The sequence below is a fragment of the Homo sapiens genome, chromosome 10 (genome assembly GCF_000001405.40).
Source record: "Homo sapiens chromosome 10, GRCh38.p14 Primary Assembly".
NCBI classification, from domain to species: Eukaryota; Metazoa; Chordata; class Mammalia; order Primates; family Hominidae; genus Homo; species Homo sapiens.
The window spans coordinates 69,044,515-69,069,848 of record NC_000010.11 but is presented as its reverse complement, the minus strand read 5'-3'; the positions used below and the strand labels follow the sequence as shown (position 1 = coordinate 69,069,848).

Sequence of the window (25,334 nt, the reverse complement as noted above, 5' to 3'; positions counted from 1 at the left end):
CACAGTGGGTGTGTGAGACAAGACCCCATAGAGGTCCAAGTCCTGAGATAAGCGGGCCCTCAAGACACCTGGCCGCTTGCCTCAGTCCCCTAGAGAGGATAATCATTGCCTCAGGTTAGCCACACAGGACGAGGTCAGGGTCACCCCTGACTGCCCTTCCCAGGCAGGGGAGACAGGAATCAAGGCCACTCACTGCCTGGGCCCAATGTCCCCTGGATGTCCCAACCCTTTTGCTACCCTGGGCCATCTACGACCAGTTCTGGTGCGAGGATGCCAGCATGTAACCTCCAGTAGGCCAGGGCTGTCGGATCTCCAGGGTAACTGTATGCGCCTGGCACACAGCAGGCTCTCGGCACATTTTTGTGGCTCATACACAGATGGCTCCAACACTGCATGCAGCAGGGCGGCGAAGAGCAGGCTGACATCTGACGTCTGCCAGCTGAATGCCTCGGAGAGCCTGTTTAACCTCCCTGTACTCCAGTTTCCACATCTGTTAAAAGGGGGTTCCACAAGCATGTAATGAGGATCAAGTGAGTTGAAACAGGAATCCTTTGTAGTGCCTTGGCCCGCAGCACTCAATGGTACTAGCTGTTAATCAGCATAACTATGTTTAGCCGCATGACACTGGGCAAGTGGCTTATCTCTGAGCCTCCATTTTTGTTCCTATAAAGTAGGGATATTTCTACCTCACATGGTTGTTGGGAAAATTGAAAGAGAATATCACGTGGGTCGTGCGTGGTGGCTCATCCCAGCACTTTGAAAGGCCGAGGTGGGTGGATCACCTGAGGTCAAGAGTTCGAGGCCAGCCTGGTCAACGTGGCGAAATCCCATCTCTACTAAAAATACAAAAATTAGCTGGGCATGGTGGCACACGCCTGTAGTCTCAGCTACGTGGGAGGCTGAGACTGGAGAATCGCTTGAACCTGGGTAGCGGAGGTTGCAGTGAGCCAAGATTGTGCCACTGCACTGCAACCTGGGTGACAATGAGACTCTGTCTCAAAAAAAAAAAAGGAAGGAAAAAGAAAGAGAATATCACATGTAGAGGGCTTCGTGCACTGCTTGGGAAACAATGGGTAAGAAGCCAACGGTTGTCTGTATTGCATTCCATTCTCTCAGGGTCTTGCAAGTTGAGCAACCAACTAGCGGTGTGTATGAATTAATATCAGTAGTCCAGGCAGACTCACTAGGAAAGACAGAATTTGGTCTGAGCCTCCCTGGCTAGGGACACATCATGAATAGCTCCCAGACACAATTCCTTCCAACCTGACTTGGTGGTTCATTTTCCCCAGAGTGGAGTCACCTTGCAGCCCTTTTTCCCTTAAAGAAATGGCTCAGAAAGGCCCCCTTTCCAGATCTGTACCTGAGCAGGGATCTTCAAAACCCTGCTCTCAAAGACTGACAGGGATTTCAGACACAGAAGTGGTTGGTGAGGGAATATTTGGAGCAAGACCTTTACCAGTTAGCAAATATCAAACCATGCCAAAAACATCCCACTTGCTCCTCCCCGCCAAGCCAAGTCCACCCATGTCCTGACAAAGGTGCTGGTGAGGCTGGCCTAGTTGTGGACCCAGGCACCAAGACCCCAGGAAGGGAGAGCTGGCAGCAAACACCTTGCTGCTCAGCTCCACAGATGCCTGCATTGGAAGCAAGAGGGAGGCCATCCTGTGGTGACCGATTCTGGGTCCTGAGCCACAAGGAGACATGAGTTAGGCAGCCGCTCCTCCCTGAGAGCAAGGCTTCATCACCTTCCTTGGACTCTGGACTCAGAATGAGGTCCCACATCTAACAAGGGGTATTTCCTCCTCTTTTGTGATTTTATTTACATGCGGAAAAGCTTAGGAGTTCAAATAAACAGATAAGTAATTTGATAATACATTTACTAAATCACATTAATTGAAGAGAACCAACTTATATGCAATCAAGATGAGAGTTGACAAGACTTATTTTCCTTTGGATGGTGGTTTTCAGGTCAGATACAATTTCTTTTCCCAAGTCTTCTCTTCCAATCAAAATGCCTCTGGAGGCCTGGCAAGGTGGCTCATGCCTATAATCCCAGTACTTTAGGAGACCAAGCTGGGAAGATTGCTTAAGCCCAGGAGTTCAAGATCAGCCTGGGCAACATGGAGAGACCCCGTCACTACAAAAATCTTTAAAAATTAGCTGGGTATGGTGGTGCACACCTGTAGTCCCAGCTTCTTGGGAGGATGAGGTGGAAGGATCGCTTGAGCCCAGGAGGTTGAGACTGCAGTGAGTCATGTTCACACCACTGCACTCCAGCCTGAGCAACGAGAGAAAACTTGTCCCCTAAGCACCTCTCAAGTACAGTAATAATCGTTTGTTGTGTCCCCTCACCGAAAAGAATGCCCCTGGGTACCTCCAAAAAGATGTCACCCTTTGGCATAATCTGCACACTGAACCACTAATTCAATGAGTATTTACTGAGCACCTATTATGTGCTAGGTGTGGTCCTACTAGGTGTGAGGCCATGGGGAGATGCATGAAAAAAGTGGACCCATTCCTCAAGTAGTTTCATCTAGCCAGGACACCAAAGGACTTCTGCCATGCAAGCCCTGGCTGTGTCCATCATGAAGTATAGCCACAAAGGTTTGGTTTTTATATTGCAATAATGGTGTAACATTTAGAATTTAAGAAAAACCTTTAACGGTCGCTGCCCGTAATCTCACTAACACAATCATTTCCATTTGCCTTTGCCTTCCAGGTTTTCTTCTTTTCTTTTTTTTTTTTTTTTTTTTTTTTTTTTTTTTGAGACAGAGTTTTGATCTTGTCACTCAGTCTGGAGTGCAATGGCGCGCAGTCTCAGCTTACTGCAACCTCTGCCTCCCGGGAGGTTCAAGTGATTCTCCTGCCTCAGCCTCCTGAGTAGCTGGGATTACAGGCACGTGCCACCATGCCCGGCTAATTTTTATACTTTTTTAATAAAGACAGGGTTTCACCGTGTTGGCCAGGCTGGTCTCGAACTCCTGACCTCAGGTGATTTGTCTGCCTCGGCCTCCCAAAGTGCTGGCATTACAGGCATGAGCCACTGAGCCCGGCCAGTTTTGTTTGTTTGTTTTGGATTTTTAGAGATAGGGTCTCACTCTGTCACCCAGGCTGGAGTGCAGTGGCTCAATCATAGCTCACTGTAACCTCCAACTCCTGAGCTCAAGCAATCCTCCTGTCTCAGCCTCCCAAAGCACTAAGATTACAGGTGTGAGCCACCATGCCTGGCCCAGTTTTTAACTACATCATGTTTTAGAGTAGTAGCAATCACAACATGCTTACCAGATTGTATTTTTCTACCATTTATATTTTTGTATCTTCCTGCCTAATCTTCCTTATTAGCTTTTTTGGAAGAGCTACATGCTTTTCTCTCCTGGCTCCTGCCATTCTGGTTCATGTGCTAAAATGACAAAACCATTCCCCATGACAGGACTGGCGTGATTTGGGTTGTTTGTTTGGTGGGTTGGTTGGTGTTGTGGAAAACTGCAGTGTTTGTGGAACAAGCCATGTATGTGGAGAACACAGTCTGTCCAGGTCCTGTGCTGAGGTCACTGGAGGCCCAGCGAGTCACCAGGCAGCCATGGTCCTCACAGAGCTTAAGGTCCTTGGGCCTTAAAGACACAAGAAACCAGCAAACCATTTTTGTTAAATGTGAAGACACCTTGGAAGACATACAAAATGAGTCACACTAAAAGCCCCAGCAAAACAGACTCCAGTCTGAGGGAGCCAGAAGAGTCAGACATTTTCAAAGTGACTGAAGAAAAGTGTTTGAGGAAGTCCCCACTCCCAAGCTTTAGTCACCAGCAGAGCTGAAACTACCTCCACACAGGGTTGTATTTCCAAACGGTAGCTCTTCTGATCTCATTGGTGATGGAGGGAAAACCCCCTTTATTTCAGAATGAACCCTCTAACCCTACTGACCAGCCAGGAAATCCCGAACCCGCCTCCTGCCCGCTGGGATTGCAAGTTCAGCCTGTGTCCCTGGGGGAATTACTGCGTGGGTTGGCTTCCCTCTGAAACTTTCTCCTCTCCACTTGCCACTCCACACAGAGGATGAGAAAGAAACCCCAGAAAGAGACCCACAGCTTGGGTTTCCACATTTAGCAACTTTTCCACTGTTTCCCTAGAAACAAAAACAAGAGCACACATTCATTTACTCCACCCCACCAAGACTGTCTCCTACATAAATGCAGCTCTCTGGTCCCTTACCCCAACCCCAGCTGCCAGAAGCTGAAGTGGAAGAAAAACCAAAGGTGCCCAGCTGGAAACCCGGGCAGCCTAGAGCAAGCTTATGCATGTCTGTGGGTTCTCCCTCTTCCTCTATACTCCAAGGCCCCAGAGGGCCAGCTGTACACCCATGGTGTGGGGAGGGAGGGATGGTTCTTGGTCAGGTTCGCTCTTCTGGAAGCTTCCACACAGCAGAGCCCTGTATTATTTTCCCCTCCAAAGTGTACGTCCAGTGCTTTGCAAACCTTGGTTGATTTGGCAGAGCATTTATCACATAGAATCACACTGTACTCCGAAGAGCAGTTTGCTTGACCCTATAAAGCCTTGAGCTCTGAGGGCAGGATACAGAACCCACAATGACAGCTTGGAGAGTACCCTGGAATGAGCGAATAGGGATCCCTCTCCAGAAGCTTCATTTCTTCCCAGTCTTTTGTTAGATAGGAGGTCTGGGACAAGTCACCTCCAGATCGTCAGGTCTTGGTGGTGGTGGCACAGCAAGACCCTCCCCACCAGTAGAGGACCTCACACTGAGTACACGGGGCTCCTTAGTCTGAATTTTCCTGGCTTTAAAACATTTCGGAAGAAGAAATCTACCACTAGAGTCAGCTCAAGGAAAGGGGAGCCTCAATGGTACTCAGTAGGTGCTCAATAAATGCATGTATTCTTGTTCAACAAACCCTTAGGGATGGGGAGGGCATCACAGAGAACCCCAGATCATAGCCAGAAAGAGCTTTACAGAGCAGGAGCCCAGAAACTCTAGCTCTTGGTTCTCAAACGTGGCTGAATATTGGGGAATTGAGGCTTTAAGAAATCCTGATGTTAGAGGAATGAGTGTTGGGATTGATGTGTGACAAAGCATAGTCACATGTCCAAGATAGAATCTAGGTGGTAGATACACAGCTGCTCACTGTAGGATTCTTTCCATTTTGCTGTGTGTTTAAACATTTTATTTTATTTTTGTTTATTTATTTATTTCTGAGACAGGATCTCACTCTGTCACCTAGGATGGAGTGCAGTGGCGCAATGTCGGCTCACTGCAACCTCTACCTCCCAGGTTCAAGCGATTCTCCTGCCTCAGCCTCCCGAGTAGCTGGGATTACAGGCACGTTCCACCACACCTGGCTAATTTTTGTATTTTTAGTACAGATGGGGTTTCAACTTGTTGCCCAGGCTGGTCTCGAAATCCCGACCTCAGATGAACTGCCTGTCTCAGCCTCCCAAAGTGCTGGGATTACAGGCGTGAGCCACCGTGCCGGGCTGAACATTTTCATAATGCAATGTTGAGGGGGAAGTCCTGAGGCCTGGACTTGCCTCAAAGATTCTGATTTAATTGGTGCAGCCTGTGTGTTTGCAAGAGCTCCCAGGTGAGTCTACTGTCCAGGTGAGTCTATTGTCTAGCTGAGGCTGATCTCCATGGCTGTAGTTTGGGCTCACTGTGGGCCAGAACAGCATCATAAGTGTCACCTGGGAACTTGTTAGAAATGCAGATGTCCAGGCTCCACCCTGCCCAAGTGTGCAGAGCCAGAAACTCTGGAGGTGGAACCAATGATTGGTGTTTTAACAAATGCCTTCCTGTGATTCTGGTGCATGTTAGCTGAAGTTAGTGGTTCACAAACTTGGGTGCATGCTGGAATCGCTTGAGGAATTTTGGGGACAAAATAGACAATATTCCAGGATAAGCCTCATACCCCTTGAATTAGGTCTGCAAGGTAGGCGGCTGCAACATAAAGGAAAAGTGCCCTGTCTAATCCAGAGCAGTCAGGGGCATCCACTGCCCTCAGGGCAATCCAGTGCAACAGAGGACATTCTTTCCTCCCAGGCTTGTCACCAAGGACATAGGAGAAGGAGTGAATAGGGTGATGAGGATCAAAATGGATCAGGGTCTCTTCCTACAGATAAGGAAACTGAGGATCCCAAAATGGAGTAACTTGCCCCAGCTCATACACCAAGCCGGGGGGCAGCCAGGATTGAACCCAGTTCTGTCTCCAACTAAGTGGTTTTTAGTATATTCATAACCATCATCACTATCTAATTCCAGAACATTCTCATCACTCCAAAAAGATACTCTTCATTCCCCATTCCTCCCTCCACCCAGCTCCTGTCCACCACGAATCTACTTTTTGCCTCCATGGACATGTCTGTTCTGAGCATTTCATGTAAATGGAACCATACATTTTGTGGCCTTTTGTGACCAGCTTCTTTACTTAGCATAATGTTTTTGAGGTTTACTCATATTGTTGCATGTCTCAGCACTTCGCTCTTTTTGTGACCAAATATGTGCTTGCATGGATCTCCTTGGTTTTGTTTATGCACTCACCTGTGGATGGGCATTTGAGTTGTTTCCACTTTTTGGCTATCACGGATAATGCTGCTATGAACATCCTTGCATAAGTTTTTGTGTGGACATAACTGTATTCTCAATTCTCCTGGGTAAACACCCAGGAGTGGAATTGCTGAGTCCTATGGTGACTCTATTTTTTAACTTTTTAGGAACTTCCAGACCATTTTCTGGAGCTTCACTTCTGTTATCAACCCCATTTTGCTGATGACAAGGGAGGGAGAGAAGTGAGTTTGCTCATATTCGTCAGCTCTTGAATGGCGGACTCAGAGGGTGGGGACTGCTCGTGGAAAGGAATCCTCTGTTTCCCTCAATGCATTTCATCCATTCTTCGAAACTTTTGAGACCCTTCTATGTGCCAGTCACTAGTCTAGGTGCTGAAATTACCTCTGAGAGCCAGACAGACATAGTTCCTGCCCTCTTGGAGACATAGGTTAGAGGAGAAAACAGACAGTAGGCAAATAATTACAAATTTGACAAGCATAATGGCAAAATCTATTAGAGTATTTGCCAACTTATCCTCTACTTTGTACAGTGATCAAGAACTTGGGCTTGGAGTCAGCCCGCCTATGTTCGAGTACTGGCCACTTACTAGCTGGGGGGCCTGGACAATTTCCCTAACCTCCCTATGTCTCCACTATTCACGTGGAAATGGACAGAGTAATAGTACCTACTTTAAGGTTTACAGGGTGGATTCAAAGCATCAAAACCTAGAAAGCACTTCAAACCTGGCTTTGGCAAGTCCAAAATCAATACAAGCTATCGAGGTTGCTGTTATACTGTCTACACCTTATCCATCACTCTGGGGTATGAATCCTGGTCCCTCCAGCTTTCACTGTTTCCCACCTCCTCCCCATGCCTGGCTACCCATATACAAACTCTGACAGTAAGCAGAATTCCCACAGTGCTCTGTTCCAACATCCTGCATTGAGCTAATCTGGTTTGATGCTTCAGTTAGAATCCCTAATTCTAATTGAATGCCAGGCTCCTCATTGCACAGAGTGCCAGGCTCCTCATTGCACAGAGAAGAAAATGCTTTTTAAATATTCATCTTTTCTCCTTCACTAGACTGTGAGCGCCCTGAAGCTAGGCCTTCTTTCTCCTGTAGTGCTAAAAGTTTTTGGCAAGAAAAACAAGTGGAGGTAAAGTCGTAAAGTAGGGTGGTAGGGTTGAGAAAGGACAGGCTCTGGAGCCAGACAGCCCTGGGGCTATCACACCTGCTCTGCCACCTGTAACCACCTGACCAGGACAGCTTCCTTGGGGAGCCTCCTTCAATCATCTGTGAAATGCAGGAGGAGCAGCCGCCCGTCAGACCTGGTGGGGATCAGCAGTGACCTGCAGAAGTTGCTGGTGTGGTGGGCACCGGATACCTGGTGTTTCTGCTGCCTCGGTGCTGCTGAGGACCCAGAGCCCTGCCTGAGCAGCACGCTCACAGAGGCAGCGAAGTACAGGAAGTACACAAGGTCAAAAGGAAAACACGCTCTCCAGAGACGTCCTCTGATCACTATCGTGTACGTTGGGTCGAATGGAACAGAATTTGCTGCTAGAGTGTTTTTCCTCTCCTAACCCCATAGACGCTTCTATTTTGCTATTTTTACTAAACTCGAACAGGAACAGAAAGTATTCATGCAACTGTATCCAGTGAATGATTAAGAAATGCGTAAGAGCGGAGATTGTGTAATTCCCAGGCTGCTGTGCCTTGTCATCAGCCGCAAGTCCGAGAAATACTGCAACCGTCAAGTTGACCTCTGTTCCTAAGAAATTTCCTGGGTTGGCTTTAACACATTCTTTGAGAGTTATGACATAGGATATTAAAAAAATTCCTCCCACTTAGTGAGCCATACAAAGCCCACCACACATCAGTAGTGTCCATCCCATGTTTAATCTTCAGAAGGTGTGTGAGGAATAACATGTTTGCTTTTGAAAGATGCCTTGTAGACTGTGCGCAGTGGCTCATGCCTGTAATCCCAGCACTTTGGGAGGCTGAGGAGAGCGGATCACCTGAGGTCAGGAGTTTGAAACCAGCCTGGTCAACATGGTGAAACGCCATCTCTATTAAAAATACAAAACTTAGCCAGGCGTTGTGGCGGGCACCTGTAATCCCAGCTACTAAGGAGGCTGAGGTAGAAGAATTGCTTGAACCTGGGAGGCAGAGGCTGCAGTGAGCTGAGATCATGCCACTGCACTCCAGCCTGGGCAACAGAGCAAGACTCCATCTCAAAAAAAAAAAAAAAGATGCCTTGTCTTCAAGCAAACTATTATTAAGGATGAGTTGCTTATTTGTATTAAAAAGAGGGCTGGAGGATAGCTTGAGCCCAGGAGTTCAAAACCTGCCTGGGCAATATAGTGAGACCCCATTCTCAAAAAAAAAAAAAAAAGAAAGAAAAGGTGGGGATCACTGAATTTTCTATTGCATTAACCAAGAATCTTAAAAGTCATATTTTTAAAGATTATTGAAGATTTAAAATGTGTCTTGTTTTTTTTTTTTTCATTTTGTTTTATTTTATTTGAGACAGGGTCTCATGATGTTGCCCAGGCTGGTTTTACTCCTGGGCTCAAACTGTCTTCCTGCCTCATCCTCCCAATTAGCTGGGATTTCAAGTGCATGCCAACCCACACAGCCTTTTCTTTTTCATTTTCCTTTCTTTTTTTTTTTTGAGGCAGGATCTTGCTGTGTTGCCCAGGCTGGAGTGCAGTGGTGCAATCGCACTTCATTGCAGCCTGGACCTCCTGAGCTCAAGTGAGCCTCCCACCTCAGCCTCTTAAGAAGCTGGGACTGCAGACACATGCCAGCAATACACCTGGCTAATATTTTAATTTAATTTTTTCTAGAGACAGGGTCTCACAATGTTGCCCAGACTGGTCTCGAACTCCTGGATCAAGCAGTTTGCCCACCTCAGCCTCCCAAAATGTTGCAATTACAGGCTTGAGCCTTTTTATTATTTATTTATTTATTTATTTATTTATTTATTTATTTATTTTGAGATGGAGTCTTGCTCTTTGTTGCCCAGGGTGGAGTACAATGGCGCGACCTTGGCTAACTGCAACCTCCACCTCTCGGGTTCAAGCGATTCTCCTGCCTCAGCCTCCTCAGCAGCTGGGACTACAGGTGCGTGCCACCACACCCGGCTAATTTTTTGTATTTTTTTGTAGAGACGGGGTTTCACCGTGTTAGCCAAGATGGTCTCAATCTCCTGACCTCGTGATCTGCCCGCCTCGGACTCCCAAAATGCTGGGATTACAGGCGTGAGCCACCGTGCCCGGCCTGAGCCTTTTTATTTTTAAAAGTGGCTTTCCATTTTCTTTCTGTGGCAATTTCAAGAGGCATGGTGTGTTATTATCCCTGAGCTTTCTTGGGTATTAAAAAAAGGCCATGGGACTGGGCGCGGTGGCTCACGCCTGTAATCCCAGCACTTTGGGAGGCTGAGGTGGGCGGACCACCTGAGGTCAGGAGTTCAAGACCAGTTTGACCAACATGGTGAAACCCTATCTCTACTAAAATACAAAAAAATTAGCCGCGCGTAGTGACAGGTGCCTGTAGTCTCAGCTACTTGGGAGGCTGAGGCGGGAGAATTGCTTGAAACCAGGAGGCAGAGGTTGCAGTGAGCCAAGATTGCGCCATTGCACTTCAGCCTGGGCAACAAGAGACTCTGTCTCACATAAAAAAAAAAAAAAAAAGAGGCCATGGGGCTGGGCGCAGTGGCTCACACCTGTAATGCCAACACTTTGGAAGGCCAGGGTGGGAGGATCACTTGAGCCTAGGAGTTCCAGGCTGCAGTGAGCTATGGTCATGCCATTGTACTCCAACATGGGTGACAGAGTGAGACCTTGTCTCAAACATAATAATAATAATAATAGTAATAATAAAATGAAAATAGGTGGTGGCAGCTCCCACTTCATCTTTATTTTTTATTTCAGAGGCACTTATAAACCAGGAGAATTATGTGGAAAAGGAGTCCCCCGATATAACCCAAGACTCAGGAAATTCTTGCTCCTCTTGGCAGGGATGCAGCTGAAATTTACCTTTAGTTAGCATACTCCTCAGATAGGGCAAATGAATTGTGCAAAGATCAAAATGGGGCTTTTTTTTTTTTTTTTTTTGAGATGTCTCGCTCTGTCACCCAGGCTGGAGTGCAGTGGCACGATCTCAGCTCACTGTAATCTCTGCCTCCCAGCTTCAAGTGATTCTCCTGCCTCAGCCTCCTGAGTAGCTGGGATTACAGGTTCTACCACCGTGCCCAGCTAATTTTTGTATGTTTTAGTAGAGATGGCGTTTCGCCATGTTGGCCAGGCTGGTCTTGAACTCCTGACCTCAGGTGATCCGCCTGCCTCAGCCTCCCAAAGTGCTGGGATTACAGGTGTGAGCCAGTGCGCCCGGCCAAGGTGGAGTTTCTTTATTTTATTTATTATTTTTTTTTTATTTTTTTGAGACAGGGTCTCATTCTGTTCCCCAGGCTGGAGTGCAGGGGCATGATCACAGCCCCAGGACTCAAGTGATCCTCCCACCTCAGCCTCCCAAATAGCTGAGACTACGGGTATGCACCACCACACCCAGCTAATTTCTTTTTTTTTTTTTTAGAGATGGGTTTTTGACATGTTGCCCAGGCTGGTCTCAAACTCCTGGGCTCAAGCGATCCTCCTGCCTCAGCCTCCCAAAGTGTTAGGATTACAGGTATGAGCCACCATGCCTGGCTGGGGAGTATCTCTTAATGACTTAAGAAAACTTAAAAGAACAAACTCTTCACTATTTGGTCCGTGTGTTTGCTCCAAATTAGTAAAATTTGACCATGAAATAAAAATTGGAGGCAGGTACGAGGAGTTGGCATCCCTTTGGTGGTTGCTAAAGTTGGGCAAGAAGGAAAACAGAAAACAGAGAAGAATGATAGTGAAGTCCACAGTGAAGTGATATTAACAGAAACCAGTGTAGCCGCAACAGGGAAGGCTGGGGACAGAACTCTCAAAGCCATATACTCGCAAGGAAACCACTAACTCCTGCCCATACCAGGCACCCCAGGACTGTGCCCTAGACCCTTAATAATGACAAATTTTTTCAAATCAGTAACCGAGACCCAACAACAAAAGGGTAACCACATATATGAAATGAATACCAACTCAGAAAATCCAGGGCTCCTGGGCATAACTCTCTTGAACCTCAACTTGGGATGCCTGCAGCCTGAATCACTTCTGAGCCCTTTGGGGATGGGGATCAGCCCTGAGTCCAGGCTGGGATTCAGCTCACTAGAAGCACATTCCCCACCCTTTCCTCCTTATCTGTAGGTGGAGGCAGCTGGGAGACTGTGGGTGATCCTCCACTTATTTCCAGTAGGTTCCTTTTGTCACCAGCAGTCTCTCCTCTAAAGCCAAGAGGAGTCAGGGAGAAGAGTCTGTCCTGGGCTGCTCGACTCGTGCTGAGAAGACACCACTTCCAGGAAGCCTGGGCACAAACGACTCTGACCACTTTGCTTTCAGATTTCAGCGAGGACAGACACTGTGGGGTCACTGTGGTTGGTTCTTGTTAAAGTTCTGAATGCTTCCATTGCTTGAAAAGGGAGGTCTTAGAGAACAGGCCAGAAGACAAGTCTTTCTACCTTCCCCAGGAGGAGGAAGTCACAGGTTAGGCCTCAGGGAGAAGAGCTGCTGATCTTTTGCACTGGAATCAAGAAGTCAGGGAGAGGGTGAGAACTGGGGTGGACCCAAGGCCTCTGCCGCCTTTTGTACCTGCGCTGTCCCGTGTTTATTTATCTACCAGTTAGTTTCCCCCAGCATGGTGTGGAACTGGAAGTGCATGTGGGCTCCCGCCGGCCCCAGCCCACTTCCTCCTCTCCAGGGAGACAATAAGGGGAAGGGAAAGCGTGGCACACTAAACCTGCCAGGGACCTGAGGTCCTGGCTCTGCTGCCCCCCTGCTGCCGAGCCGTCGATCGTGGGAAATTCATCCACCTCTCTAACTTTGCCTCTTCCTCCTCCAAACATGGGGAAGAGAACCTCTACAATGGGGTACAGAATTTGGATGATACATGTGTATTTTCCTGAGGAGATGGTTCTGCAGCTTTCGCCAGAGGGCTGAAAGAGTTCCCGGACTCCAAGGGAAAAAAGATCCAGTCTAAGGGCCCTGTTCCGTGGCTCCGAGCAGCACGGCAGACACTTCCTGGGTCTGTCGTTTACTTCAGGCACCTCTCACTCGCACCTCAGACATCTCCTCAGACACCCAGGTCTCCAGCCATCCACAACTATGATTCTTTTTGCTTTAATCAACCTCTGTTTTAGGCTGCTGGGCCAGGAGGTCAAGTTCCCCTGTGGTGACACCACCACCTCTCGCCAACTGGTCACTGTTGTGCACGCCCCACACAGCATGTGTGCCCACCCACAGGGGCAGGTGGATCCAAAGGGTACTGCTGTGAGTTGGGCAGCTAAGACTCTATCTAGCCTTTAAGACTCAGCTCAGCCACGCACCAGACAACCCAGGGTGGGTGTGAGAGAGTAGAAACATCATCTGAAGTTAACCCATTTGTTTCTGGTTTGCTCTACACACCTGTACCAGGCCCCAGCTGCAAACCTCTTCCTACTCTGAGTTCTTGGCTCAGATCCCCTGGCCAGACTGTGAGCTCCCTGAGGGTGGGGGACTGTGCCTGGGGCAGGCTTGGATCACAGGGGCCAAGCGTCTGCCGAGCTGCAGAAGGGCTCTAAAGGAGCGCCAGCAGGCATCAGTGGGTCTCCCAGGTCCCTCCTCTGGCGGGAACACTAGCAATCAGGGCAGGAAGGAATTGTGAGGGGCAGCAAGGAGCTGGCGGTCAGCATCTACCTGTCGAGGCTCAAGGAACAACTGCTCTCCTCCAGTCCAAGCTCTTCTCATTCCCTCACTGTTTGGGTTGCCCCCTCCCCCTTGGGTTAACAAGGCTGGAAAAAAGCCCTATTGCCCTCCCCCAGGGCTGCCATGGGAGGCCAAGGGGCACTTCTGCCAAAAAATGAGAAACGAGTAAGTGAGGGGGTGCTCTCACCCCAAACGGAAGTGAGACAGCCCTGACCGTGAGCGGTGTGACCTTTGCCTGCAGGCCACACAGGAAGAGAGAGGGAGTTACTGTGTCCACTACATACCACTCTGCCTTCTCTGGGGACAAGGAGCCTCCTCTGAATGTTCTTTACCTTCCGAAGATCTTTGCTTTGATCAGGGGCCCTTTTGGCCATCTGGCCAGCCTACAGACCCCCTTCTCAGAATGCTGTCTTAAAATACATCTAACATAGCCGGGTGCAGTGGCTCACGCCTGTAATCCCAGCACTTTGAGAGGCCGAGGTGGGTGGATCACGAGGTCAGGAGATTGAGACCATCCTGGCTAACACGGTGAAACCCCATCTCTACTAAAAATACAAAAAATTAGCCAGGTGTGGTGGCGGGCAACTGTAGTCTCAGCTACTTGGGAAGCTGAAGCAGGAGAATGGCATGAACCCAGGAGGCAGAGGTTGCAGTGAGCCAAAATCATGCCACTGCACTCCAGCCTGGGCGACAGAGCGAGACTCCGTCTCAAAAAAAAAAGAAAAGAAAAAAATCTAAGATACATAGGATTTCTATTGAAACAATTATGTTGAATGCCAGTAGCCAAAAATATTGTAAAATTTGTGATATGGTGATATATGTGCATCTTCATTAATGCATTAAATAACAAAATCTAGGAGGAATCTAATAATCATCTTACTTTTTAAGTGCAGATGAGCTTAAATCATATTTCAAGATACCCACAACAACCATAAAATGATATGAGAAGATCTGATTTCTAGGGTGACAAAGTCACAGGTACTGTTGACACTGCTGTGGTTTGACATTTACATTCATAACGGAAGAAAACACTCAATTTCAGTTGGAGGTTCATGAAAATTAAGGTGTCATTTATTCCCATTCAAGTTCATCAATTCTTTTGAATGCTCTCTGCGGAGCCACTGTAACTGCATCAGACCAATCTGGTTCAGCTTTTTTTTTTTTTTTTTTTTTTATACTTTAAGTTTTAGGGTACATGTGCACAATGTGCAGGTTAGTTACATATGTATACATGTGCCATGCTGGTGCGCTGCACCCACTAACTCGTCATCTAGCATTAGGTATATCTCCCAATGCTATCCCTCCCCCCTCCCCCCACCCCACCACAGTCCCCAGAGTGTGATATTCCCCTTCCTGTGTCCATGTGATCTCATTGTTCAATTCCCACCTATGAGTGAGAATATACGGTGTTTGGTTTTTTGTTCTTGCGATAGTTTACTGAGAATGAGCTTTTATGTAACAAAGATGTGAGTTGTTTCCCAGTTGCCTCAGACCCTCGGGTCACAAAACCTGAGCATGCGCAGATGAACCAAGCCTGCAACCACAGGGGAACCCAAGTGGGGGCTGAATGAAGAATCAGACACTGGGCCAGGCGTGGTGGCTCATGCCTGTAATCCCAGCACTTCGGGAGGCTGAGGTGGGTGGATCACAGGAGGCCAGGAGTTCGAGACCAGCTTGGCTCACATGGCAAAACCCTGTCTCTACTAAAAATACAAAAAGTAGCCAGGTGTGGTGGTGCTTGTCTGTAATCCCAGCTAGCTGAAGCACAAGAATCGCTTGAGGCTGGGCTTGGTGGCTCACGCCTGTAATCCCAGCACTCTGGAAGGCCGAGGCGGGGGAATCATGAAGTCAGGAGATCGAGACCATTCTGACTAACACAGTGAAACCCCATCTCTACTAAAAGTATAAAAAGTTAGCCGGGCGTGGTGGCGGGCACCTGTAGTCCCAGCTACTCAGGAGGCTGAGGCAGGAGAATGATGTGAACCCAGGAGGCGAAGCTTGCAGTGAGCCGCGATTGCGCCACTGCACTCCAGACTGGGCAACGGAGCCAGACTCCATCTCAAAAAAAAAAAAAAAAAAAAGAATTGCTTGAGCTTGGTGGGTGGAGGTTGCAGTGAGCTGAGATTGCGCCACTGCACTCCAACCTGGGTGACACAGTGAGACTCCATCTCAAAAAAAAAAAAAAAAGAAGAAGCAGGCACTGCATGGCAGGATCCAGTCGGATCACTACCCTATGCTTATAAAACGTGACCCAGTCCCCGGCTCAGGGGGACACTGCTTTGGGACTTGTTACAAGTCATAAAATCCCCTTGCTACATCCTCTCTGGTGGCGGTCATTGAACTGATACCCACCAAGTGGCCGAACCCACCAGTTGTGTGGATAACACTACAGGGTTATGAATCTTTTACCCGGGTCCTTCCATGTCACCGGGACAGCTTCTAGAGCAGGGGTTCTCAAGCCTGGCTAACACAAGTATCACGTGGTGAGGGGATGTCCAGTCCCGCTCCTCACCACCTGAATGGAAATCCCCGAGGATGTGCCCCCTGACTCCCCTCGCATCCCATGTTTTCTAAAATTCCCCAGGGGATTTTAGATTCTATCAGGCAGCAAAGTGAAGAGCCAGCAGCAAGGGGAACAGAGTCAAGAGGAGTGAGCCCCACTGGACAAGAGGGCCAGGTGCTAGAGCAAACCTCAGCTCTGCTCCCAAGCCAGACCATCACAGCCCCTCATCAAGACTTCACCTCCTAGGCCCAGCACGGTGGCTCATGCCTGTTATCCCAGCACTTTGGGAGGCTGAGGTGGGAGAATTGCTTGAGTCCAGGAGTTCAAGACCAGCCTGGGCAAGATGGTGAAATCTCGTCTCTATAAAAAAAAATTTTTTAAATTAGCTAGGCGTAGTGGCCTGCAGCTGTTGTTCCAGAAATTCTGGAGGCTGAGGTGGGAGGATCACTTGAGCCTGGGAGATCGAGGATTCAGTGAGCCCTATTGAGGCTTCAGTCAGCCCAATGCAAACAGCATTGCTACACTCCACCCTGGGCGGTAGAGCAAGACCCTGTCTCAAAACAACAACAAGAATAAAAGACTTCACCTACTGGGCACCTTGGGCGACTTCACCTACTGGGTTGGCCAGGCCTTGTGCTGGGCATAGAAAACACCAGAGATGGTGTTGGGAGTGTGTGTGTTGGATCTCTGTGTGTTGACCGTGGTGCCCATCCTCCACCACACCCTTCCTGGCCCTGGGCTGGTGATGTTCTTTCTTGGGTTGGGCCCTTTGAGCTGTCACACCTGCACTCTCTCTTCTGAGCCCCACACCATGGTCCGGCCACAGTCTCTCCTCAACTACCTCACCCCCAGGCCAGGCACCACTCCAGGAGCACCACCTATACTGTGTTCAATGAAAATGACACCCCCTGGAGTTGTGCAAGGAGGTGGCACTGCCCACCCCACCCCCAATTCGTGTAAATTTCCTGAGGGCAAGCTCTGTGTCCAGCCTCCCATCCGATTCTCTAAAGAATTCCTTTCTGTTCTCTGCATCTCAGTTCCCTCGTAGGGGCAGCACAGGGGAATTCCTGTGCGAGTCTTCCAGTTCAGCCATTTAGGATTCTACCCTACAACCCATTCACTTGTTTATTCATTTCAGTCCGCAAATACTTTTTGAGTACCTACTGTGTGGCAGGCATTGCTCTAGGTGCTTGGGCTATATCCATGAACAAAAAGTACCCATCTTTGCCCTCGTGGAGCTTACAATCTAGTAGATAGCAGTGAGGGTGACAGAGACCCAGAACAACACATAATGCCTAAGGAAATTCTACAGCATGCCGTGGGGGAAAGGAGCAAGGTACAAAGGCAGCTGGGAGAGGAGTGCATGTTCCTTCAGTAAGGTGGTCGGGGCGCTCATCCAAGAAGGAAGACTCGCAGGAGGTGAAGGAGGGAGCCAGGTAAGAAGCCCACGCACCAGCCACCAGGCAGTGGTGAAAGCGGAGGCAGAGTGAAAAGCCTCAGGCACACCCTGAGATTAACAAAGAAGTGAGAGAAGGGGCTTTAGGACCTGGAGGTTTAAAGCCAGCAGCAAAGAAAGGACGGAATTCTGTTCTTATTGTATGGAAAAGACAATGACAATGGCACTGGACTGCTCCAGCCAGAGCCAGGGGTAACCAGCCTCCACCCCAGCTGAACAATGGGGGAAGCAAGGCTGAAGGAAGTGAAACCCTTGACCAGAAGCGGGAGAAATCTCCTCCCCACCACCTTCCCCACTCCAGACCAGCAGCTCTGGGCCAAGAGGCCTGATACCCAGCTCCCAGCCCAGGTCATGGTGGGTGAGACACATCATCTGTCCCCTTCCGTGTGCTTTGAACTTACCAATCATATTCCTGCCTCAGGGGCTTGGTGCTTTTTCTCCTCACTAAATCACTACTTCTGCAACTCAATGTCACCTCACAGGTGACAGTGGTCTTCCCTGCCATTCTTTCCTATCGAAAATAGCCTACCACCTCTACCGGCCTGTTCCTCTCCATGCCTCTACTCTGCTGACACAACCCAATATCATATTACATACTGACAGATATCCACGTATTGATTGTCCGCCTCCATCACTAGGATCTGAGCTCTGCGGGGGCAAAGACTGTGTCATGTCCATCATCGTGTCCCTGGCATCGAGACCATTGCCTGGCACACATAAGCACTCTGTTCTGTCCCTATTTGGGGTTAGAAGATGCTGGAGAAATTACCTAAGCTCTACCCAAACTCTTTGGAAGTATCTTTCTCACAAAATGTACTCATCAATCATACTGGATTGAACAGTGTCCCCCCAAAATTCATGTGTACTGGAACCTCAGAATGTGACCTTATTTGGAAATAGGCTATTTGCAGATGTCATCAAGTTAAAATGAGGTAATAATGGATGAGGATGGGCCCTAATCCAATAGCTGATGACTTGTTAGCAAGAGGGAAATTTGAACACAGAAGGAAGAGGATGTGAGACAGAGAGATGACATCAAGTGACCACGGGGGCCACGATGAGGGCAGTGCATCTGCAAGCTGAGAAGCACTGAAGATTGCCAGCAACACCAGAAGCCAGGAAGAGAAAAGGACATGCCTCCCCCAGAGCCTTCAGCAGCAGCATGACCCTGCCAGCAATTTGATTTCAGACTTCTCGCCTCTAGAACAGTGAGGGATGTCACTGTAAGCCATCCAGTTTGTGGCACTTTGTTGGATCAGCCCTAGGAATATAATACAGCAATGTTACCTGGAGCTCCAGTCCCACAGGTGGCCAAAGATCGGTCACTCCATCTGCCAGGTGCCCATCCCTGGAGAGGACCCAGAAGCCTTACACATTAGACATGTCTTTGCAAGAAAAGTGCCTTTTTTTTTTTTTTGAGATGGCGTCTCACTCTGTAGCCCAGGCGGGAGTGCAGTGGTGCGATCTCGGCTCACTGCAACCTCCCCTCCCAGGTTCAAGTGATTCCCCTGCCTCAGCCTCCCAAGTAGCTGGGACTACAGGTGCGTGCCACCACACCCAGCTAATTTTTATTTTTTTGTATTTTTAGTAGAGACGGGGTTTCACTGTGTTAGCCAGGATGGTCTCGATCTCCTGATCTCATGATCCACCAGCCTTAGCCTCCCAAAGTGCTGGGATTACAGGCATGAGCCACCGCGCCTCGCGCCCCCACCCCCAGTTTTTTTTAAGAGATGGGGGTCCTGCTATGTTCCCCAGGCTAGACTCCAACTCCTAGACTCAAGCGATCTTCCTGCCTCAGCCTCCCAAGTAGCTGGGATTATAGGTGTGCACCACTAAATCCAGCTAGGAGCTTTCAACTTTTTTTTTTTTTTTTTTTTTTGAGATGGAGTCTCACTCTGTCGCCCAGGCTGCAGTGCAGTGGCGCTATCTCGGCTCACTGCAAGCTCCGCCTCCCGGGTTCACGCCATTCTCCTGCCTCAGCCTCCTAAGTAGCTGGGACTACAGGCGCCTGCCACCACGCCCGGCTAATTTTTTGTATTTTTAGTAGAGACGGGGTTTCACCGTGTTAGCCAGGATGGTCTCGATCTCCTGACCTCGTGATCCGCCTGCCTCGGCCTCCCAGAGTGCTGGGATTACAGGCGTGAGCCACCGCACCAGGCCTTTTTGTTTGTTTGTTTGTTTGTTTGTTTTGTTTTGAAACGGAGTCTTGCTCTGTCACCAGACTGGAGTGCAGTGGCACAATCTCAGCTCACTGCAACCTCCACCTCCCGGGTTCAAGTGATTCTCCGGCCTCAGCCTCCCAAGTAGCTGAGACTACAGGCACACACCACCACGCCCAGCTATTTTTTGTATTTTTAGTAGAGACAGGGTTTCACCATGTTGGCCAGGAAGGTCTCAATATCTTGACCTTGTGATCCACCCACCTCAGCCTCCCGAAATGCTGGGGTTACAGGCATGAGCCTCTGCGCCCGGGCTTATTTTTGTTTTTTTAAATGAAGGGTCTCGCTCAGTTGAGATGCATGATTATAGTGGCACAGTCGTGGCTCACTGCTGACTCAGATTGCTGGGCTCAAATAATCCTCCTGCCTCAACCTTCCCAGTAGCTGAGACTTTAGGCACGTGCCACTGTGCCTGGCTAGAGCTTGCGATCTTGTCAGGAAAACACAACTTACAGCTTGTTCTGGTGAAGATTTCCCTGCCCATTCTCTTAACTACAACTTCCAGAAAGAGGAAGTGCTGGGCTTTCCGTGAAGGGCCTACACTGACTTTAGAGGTCCGGCCATGAGGCCATGCCTCCAGGGTGTCATCACAGAGCAGCGGGGACCAGTCCATACATAATGCCGGTCACATACTGCATTTCAAATGTTCTAGCCACACTTTTAAAAAGTAAAGAGAAACAGGTGAAATTAATTTTAATAACATATTTTATTTGACCCCAAATATCCAACTTATCTTTTTCTCTTTTTTTTTCGAGACCAAGTCTCGCTCTGTCACCCAGGCTGGAGAGCAGTGGTGCGATCTCGGCTCACTGCATCCTCCACCTCCCAGGTTCAAGCGATTCTCCTGCCTCAGCCTCCTGAGTAGCTGGGATTACAGGCACGTGCCACCATGCACGGCTACTTTTTGTATTTTTAGTAGAGACGGGGTTTCACCATGTTGGTCAGGCTGGTGTTGAGCTCTTGACCTCGTGATCCGCCCACTCCGCCTCCCAAAGTGCTGAGATTACCAGCATGAGCCACTGCGCCCAGTCCCAACTTATCTTTTAATATATAATTAGTATAAAAATTAGTCATGAGATATTTTACGTTCTTCTTTCCTATTAAGTCTTCAAAATCCAGTGTGCACTCCATGTCTATAGCACCTTTCAGTTCACACTTGCCACCCTGCACAAGCTCAGGGCCTCATGTGATGAGAGGCTGCAGCACTGAACGGTGCAGTCATAGAGGCTTCTGGACAGACCAGCAGTGCTTAACATAGGCCAGTGACCCCCAGAGCTTCCTGAATGAGCTTGGGGAAGTCCATTCATTTCCCTGAAATTGTCAGCCAAAATTTGGATGTCTGCTTTTTTTCCCCAAGAGAGGGTTGATCATTTTATTAGATTTTCAAAGGGGTGTGCCCCCCACAAAAAGTTCGGGACCCCTGCAGTGGGTACAGATTTATGGGCTCAAGACTGCTTCCAGCTGCTTCATTTTTTTCAGTACAGGAGCCTGTGGACAGAGGAGGGGCAGGGTGTCTTACTCAGGGGATCACAGTTGCTTTGAGGCACAGCTTGCACTTGAAGCCCCCTGCTCAGGACTCAATCAGTTCCCTTCACTGCCCCCAGCCCTGGAGGGCAGCTAAGATTCTTTTTTTTTTTTTCTTTTTTGAGACAGGGTCTCGCTCTGTCGCCAGGCTGAGTGCAGTGGCACGATGTTGGCTCACTGCAACCTCCGCCTCCCAGGTTCAAGCGATTCTCCTGCCTCAGCCTCCCAAGTAGCTGGAATTATAGGCATGTGCCATCATGTCTGGCTAATTTTTGTGTTTTTACTAGAGACGGGGTTTAGCCATGTTGGCTAGGCTGGTCTCAAACTCCTGACCTCAAGTGATCCACCCACCGCGGCCTCCCAAAGTGCTGGGATTACAGGCATGAACCACCGTGCCCGGCCTTAAGATTCTTTGTTGACATCAGCAGCTGGAGGGTGGAGGGTGTGGGGGAGCTGAAGTCAGCAAGCAGCAGTTTCCACAGCTTCTTGCGCCTATGAGAGTGACACATGCTGCCATCTACTCAGTTCTCAAGTTTCCACAGAAAGGACACAACTTCCTCTTGCTTGCTCTTCCCCATCTGACTCTACCATTGGCCAGAGCTTCCACCCTGCCACTCAGAGAGAGGCTCCCAGTAGAAATCCTTCATCCCAGGCCGAGCGCAGTGGCTCATGCCTGTAATCCCAGCACTTTGGGAGGCTGAGGCAGGCGGATCACCTGAGGTCAGGAGTTTGAGACCAGTCTGACCAACATGGAGAAACCTCATCTCTACTAAAAATACAAAATTAGCCGGGTGTGGTGGCAGGCGCCTGTAATCCCAGTTGCTTGAGAGGCTGAGGCACGGGACACGGAAACACTTGAACCCGGGACACAGAGGTTGCAGTGAGCCGAGATCACGCCATTGCACTCCAGCCTGGGCAACAAGAGTGAAACTCCATCTAGGTCTCTAGGGACCTAGAGTGAAGGCTCTTTACAAGGTGGTCCCAGGATCTGGCTGGTCCTGAGAATCACCTGGGGAGAGGGGAGAGGGTGGAAACCCAGGTGCCCAGGCCCCAGAGCCACTAACCTGAATTTCTAGGGAAAGGACCAAGGAAGCCTCGCTGCTGATGAGTCCTGGTGATTCAGCTTGTGTTCACCTTTTGGTGTGGGTTTGGTTGTTCTCTAAGGAAGGTGGCCTGGCTGAGAGGGAACTGGGGTGTGTAGTCATCTGAATTTTGAAGCCGGACTCCTGCCACTTTCTAGCTCTGTGACCTTGGGTAAATTTTCTTTAACTTCTTGAGTCTCCATCCCCTTATATGCAGAATAGAGAGATGAGGTTAAACAACTCACAGACGCAAGAGCCCTGCTCTTGTCCTCACAGATGCCAGCCCACTGGGCCCCCCTTCTGCCTGCTCCCCATGCCCCCAGACTCCTCCTCAGTGGCCCCACCATCTATCAGGGACATGTGATCTAGTGGTTTGAAGAGTAACCAAATGTTTCAGATACCAGCACATTTGGGGTCAACATTCTTCCTTAAGTTTCTCCCAAGATGCCAAAATAAAGATAACCACAGTAGAGTTATTTTCTTCAACGGATGGAAAAAGAAATATTTCTGCAACCAATTTTAGGATCTTGACATGATCCCAAGTGAAGGTCATGGTCTAGTTCTACCTGCAAACCTGGAATGCAATGCTGACCTGCAGGTTTTCTACAAAGCTAGCAGCTGGGATCTAGCAATTTCCATTGGACAGAAATGTGAATGTTGACCACTAGCCACACTCACTTAGAGATGATTTTTTTTTTGAGGCAGAGTCTCTCTCTGTCACTCAGGTTGGAGTGCAGTGGTACAATCGCGGCTCACTGCAACCTCCGCCTCCCAAACTCAAGCGATCTTCCTATCTTAGCCTTCAGAGTAGCTGAGTCTACAGGCATGCACCGTCACACCTGTCTAATTTTTGTATTTTTTGTAGAGATGGCGTTTCACCACACTTAGCAGCTATTGCCCAGGCTGAGCTCGAACTCCTGGGCTCAAGTGATCCTCCCATCTTGGCTCCAAAAGTGCTAGGATTACACATGTGAGCCACCACACCTGGCCAGATGATATATATTTTAATGTTCATAAATCCCTAAGTAGCAAATTGTTTCAAAAAGTCTCATATTGGACTGGGCACATTGGCTCACACTTGGAATCCCAGCACTTTGGGAGGCCGAGGTGGGTGGAACACTTGAGGTCAGGAGTTCAAGACCAGCCTGGCCATAATGGTGAAATCCCATCTCTACTAAAAATACAAAAATTAAGCAGACATGGTGGCACATGCCTGTAATCCCAGCTACTCAGGAGGCTGAGGCAGGAGAATCACTTGAACTCGGGAGGCAGAGGTTGCAGTGAACCAAGATCGTGCCATTGCACTCCAGCCTGGGTAACAGAGCGAAACTCTGTCTCACCAAAAAAAAAAAGTCTCATATTGGATTCTTCTCTAGGATCCCCTGAGGTGGGCAACAGGAGGAGCAAGGATTTCCCTGACTCCCATGTCAGGTAGCTGATGTGGGGAGCAGGGAGCAGCTGTAGCAGCCTTGGGCTCCAGGACATCCTGACGTCCACACCCTCCCTCTCTCCTCCCCTCCACTCCAAGTAGGTCAGGCTCTTCCTGGAGTCTGAACACCACTGGACCGTGGCAGCTGGAGTCCTTCTCATCATGCACAGCCTCTTCTCCTTCCTACCCCCCTCATCCTTCAAGTCCTACCTCCACCATGAAGTTTCCAGGCCTCTCTAGCTTCCTGAGTTTACAAGCTCCCTCCTGAGTTCTCAAAACCAGGGTTACCTGCCCCTCCTTCTTGACCCCCATTACCTCAAGCTGGAAGCAAGGTTCCCAGGCAGGGCCTGGGACAGGGGCCTTGCACAAAGAAAGTGCTTGATAAAGCCTTACTGATTTGCTGTGTTACATACGTTGCACCACAGATTGGAAGTGGAAATTCAAATCAACTCAGGGCCCAGACAGTGGTTATATCAGCCTGAGCACTGGACTTGCACATTCATGTTTAGATCAAGTCTGACAGAACCTGAAATTGCAAAAGAGTGGAAACAAGTGTTGCTACAAAATAGCCTAACCACAGTGAGACACATCTCCTTTGTTATCTGTATGACGCTTTTGGTTTCAAAAACACAGCCCTATTGCAGGATCAGTTCTCTGGGCCAGGAACTAGATCTTCTCTATTACTAACAGATCAGCTGAAGACAGCGAGGGGTGGGCCTCTACCAAGGGCCAGGACTCCCATCGCATTCAGAAACACTTTCCAACAAATGGTCTTCCCTTCAGCAAAATGAATCACAAGGTCAAGAAGGAAGTGAGAAGGAAAAAAAGAATGTCGCCCAGGTGTGTTTCTCCTGAGCTATTCGCTTGTTTTATTTCATGGACAACAGTGTTACATTATGTAACTAATTCAGTTTCTTTCATCTCATTGGGTGCTAGGAAGCTTAGAGCCAATCCTGTGACCCACTAAAGTAAGGATGTACTTTCTGTATTAGTCTCTGCTGGCTCCATTTTATGTTTATATCTTCATTTTCCCTCTATTTTTCTCATCAACTTGCTGAAATTTGCCATAAGTCCTATTTAGAACAAGGAGGAGGGTAAGAGGAGAAGGGGAAAAATGGTCCTTGCCCTTGAATAATGAAAAATACATAAGTAAGGAGATAAGTAACAATAACAAAAATAATATTATAGAAGTTAACATTTATGGCTGGGCACAGTGGCTCACCCCTGTAATTCCAGCACTTTGGGAGGCTGAGGCAGGCCGATCACCTGAGGTCAGACATTTGAGACCAGCCTGGCCAACATGGTGAAACCCTGTCTCTACTAAAAATACAAAAATTAGCTGGGTGTGGTGGCAGGTGCCTGTAATCCCAGCTACTCAGGAGGCTGAGGCAGGAAGATCATTCAAACCAGGAAGGTGAAGATTGCAGTGAGCCGATATCATGCCACTGCACTCCAGCTTGGGTGACAGAGAGACTTGGTCTCAAAAAAAAAAAAAACTTAAAAAAAGGAAGTTAACATTTATTTAGCACTTTTGCAAGGGACTTGCCTTTAGCACTTTTGCAAGGGACTGTGGCAGGTAACATTATTTGAAACTTATGCAAGGGACTATGGTATGTATCATCTCACTAATCTCCCTAACAGCCCCACCAATAAAAGTACAGAGCTATTATTTTCCCCCAAATTAGTATTATAGATGAGGAAAGGGAAGCTGAGAGAGGCTAAGTCGTGAGGCCAAGATCACACGGC

General features: G+C 48.7%; 1 long non-coding RNA gene across 1 annotated transcript, besides 18 other annotated features; it reads right to left on the bottom strand.

Annotated features, from left to right (window-relative positions):
* Positions 277-828: an enhancer, noted in NCBI's record as "NANOG-H3K27ac-H3K4me1 hESC enhancer chr10:70828777-70829328 (GRCh37/hg19 assembly coordinates)". NCBI's record gives its function as "activates a minimal SCP1, AML or CMV promoter by ChIP-STARR-seq in primed H9 embryonic stem cells {active_cell/tissue: H9 hESC(primed)}" and the evidence as "EXISTENCE:reporter gene assay evidence [ECO:0000049][PMID:30033119]".
* Positions 2,055-2,224: an enhancer, noted in NCBI's record as "experimental_16959 CRE fragment used in MPRA reporter constructs". NCBI's record gives its function as "activates a minimal promoter by MPRAs in K562 erythroleukemia cells, with activity observed for the non-introgressed 10:70827466 or rs11817844 variant allele {active_cell/tissue: K562}" and the evidence as "EXISTENCE:reporter gene assay evidence [ECO:0000049][PMID:34662402]".
* Position 2,139: a transcriptional cis regulatory region, noted in NCBI's record as "Neanderthal adaptively introgressed variant 10:70827466 (GRCh37/hg19 assembly coordinates) or rs11817844 in the experimental_16959 CRE". NCBI's record gives its function as "modulates activity of the experimental_16959 enhancer by MPRAs in K562 erythroleukemia cells {active_cell/tissue: K562}" and the evidence as "EXISTENCE:reporter gene assay evidence [ECO:0000049][PMID:34662402]".
* Positions 3,577-3,776: an enhancer, noted in NCBI's record as "active region_3484". NCBI's record gives its function as "activates an Ori minimal core promoter by ATAC-STARR-seq in GM12878 lymphoblastoid cells {active_cell/tissue: GM12878}" and the evidence as "EXISTENCE:reporter gene assay evidence [ECO:0000049][PMID:35858748]".
* Positions 4,277-4,416: an enhancer, noted in NCBI's record as "active region_3483". NCBI's record gives its function as "activates an Ori minimal core promoter by ATAC-STARR-seq in GM12878 lymphoblastoid cells {active_cell/tissue: GM12878}" and the evidence as "EXISTENCE:reporter gene assay evidence [ECO:0000049][PMID:35858748]".
* Positions 8,061-8,180: an enhancer, noted in NCBI's record as "active region_3482". NCBI's record gives its function as "activates an Ori minimal core promoter by ATAC-STARR-seq in GM12878 lymphoblastoid cells {active_cell/tissue: GM12878}" and the evidence as "EXISTENCE:reporter gene assay evidence [ECO:0000049][PMID:35858748]".
* Positions 12,129-12,328: an enhancer, noted in NCBI's record as "active region_3481". NCBI's record gives its function as "activates an Ori minimal core promoter by ATAC-STARR-seq in GM12878 lymphoblastoid cells {active_cell/tissue: GM12878}" and the evidence as "EXISTENCE:reporter gene assay evidence [ECO:0000049][PMID:35858748]".
* Positions 12,739-12,918: an enhancer, noted in NCBI's record as "active region_3480". NCBI's record gives its function as "activates an Ori minimal core promoter by ATAC-STARR-seq in GM12878 lymphoblastoid cells {active_cell/tissue: GM12878}" and the evidence as "EXISTENCE:reporter gene assay evidence [ECO:0000049][PMID:35858748]".
* Positions 13,129-13,278: an enhancer, noted in NCBI's record as "active region_3479". NCBI's record gives its function as "activates an Ori minimal core promoter by ATAC-STARR-seq in GM12878 lymphoblastoid cells {active_cell/tissue: GM12878}" and the evidence as "EXISTENCE:reporter gene assay evidence [ECO:0000049][PMID:35858748]".
* Positions 14,938-14,987: a silencer, noted in NCBI's record as "silent region_2426". NCBI's record gives its function as "represses an Ori minimal core promoter by ATAC-STARR-seq in GM12878 lymphoblastoid cells {active_cell/tissue: GM12878}" and the evidence as "EXISTENCE:reporter gene assay evidence [ECO:0000049][PMID:35858748]".
* Positions 15,838-15,997: an enhancer, noted in NCBI's record as "active region_3478". NCBI's record gives its function as "activates an Ori minimal core promoter by ATAC-STARR-seq in GM12878 lymphoblastoid cells {active_cell/tissue: GM12878}" and the evidence as "EXISTENCE:reporter gene assay evidence [ECO:0000049][PMID:35858748]".
* Positions 16,127-16,626: an enhancer, noted in NCBI's record as "H3K4me1 hESC enhancer chr10:70812979-70813478 (GRCh37/hg19 assembly coordinates)". NCBI's record gives its function as "activates a minimal SCP1, AML or CMV promoter by ChIP-STARR-seq in primed H9 embryonic stem cells {active_cell/tissue: H9 hESC(primed)}" and the evidence as "EXISTENCE:reporter gene assay evidence [ECO:0000049][PMID:30033119]".
* Positions 16,627-17,128: an enhancer, noted in NCBI's record as "H3K4me1 hESC enhancer chr10:70812477-70812978 (GRCh37/hg19 assembly coordinates)". NCBI's record gives its function as "activates a minimal SCP1, AML or CMV promoter by ChIP-STARR-seq in naive H9 embryonic stem cells {active_cell/tissue: H9 hESC(naive)}" and the evidence as "EXISTENCE:reporter gene assay evidence [ECO:0000049][PMID:30033119]".
* Positions 17,249-17,358: an enhancer, noted in NCBI's record as "active region_3477". NCBI's record gives its function as "activates an Ori minimal core promoter by ATAC-STARR-seq in GM12878 lymphoblastoid cells {active_cell/tissue: GM12878}" and the evidence as "EXISTENCE:reporter gene assay evidence [ECO:0000049][PMID:35858748]".
* Positions 17,499-17,628: an enhancer, noted in NCBI's record as "active region_3476". NCBI's record gives its function as "activates an Ori minimal core promoter by ATAC-STARR-seq in GM12878 lymphoblastoid cells {active_cell/tissue: GM12878}" and the evidence as "EXISTENCE:reporter gene assay evidence [ECO:0000049][PMID:35858748]".
* Positions 18,439-18,568: an enhancer, noted in NCBI's record as "active region_3475". NCBI's record gives its function as "activates an Ori minimal core promoter by ATAC-STARR-seq in GM12878 lymphoblastoid cells {active_cell/tissue: GM12878}" and the evidence as "EXISTENCE:reporter gene assay evidence [ECO:0000049][PMID:35858748]".
* Positions 20,689-20,889: a silencer, noted in NCBI's record as "peak1005 fragment used in MPRA reporter construct". NCBI's record gives its function as "represses an SCP1 promoter by STARR-seq MPRAs in K562 erythroleukemia cells {active_cell/tissue: K562}" and the evidence as "EXISTENCE:reporter gene assay evidence [ECO:0000049][PMID:32103011]".
* On the bottom strand, positions 20,869-22,299 carry LOC105378342 (uncharacterized). Its single transcript, XR_946030.3, has 2 exons — positions 22,142-22,299; positions 20,869-21,041 (listed from the first exon to the last, which is right to left on the bottom strand). It is a non-coding gene; the product is annotated as an uncharacterized LOC105378342 (long non-coding RNA).
* Positions 21,442-21,736: an enhancer, noted in NCBI's record as "tiled region #5024; K562 Activating DNase matched - State 8:EnhW". NCBI's record gives its function as "activates a minimal TATA promoter and a strong SV40 promoter by Sharpr-MPRA in K562 cells {active_cell/tissue: K562}" and the evidence as "EXISTENCE:reporter gene assay evidence [ECO:0000049][PMID:27701403]".
* Positions 22,300-25,334: the final 3,035 nt, after the last annotated feature.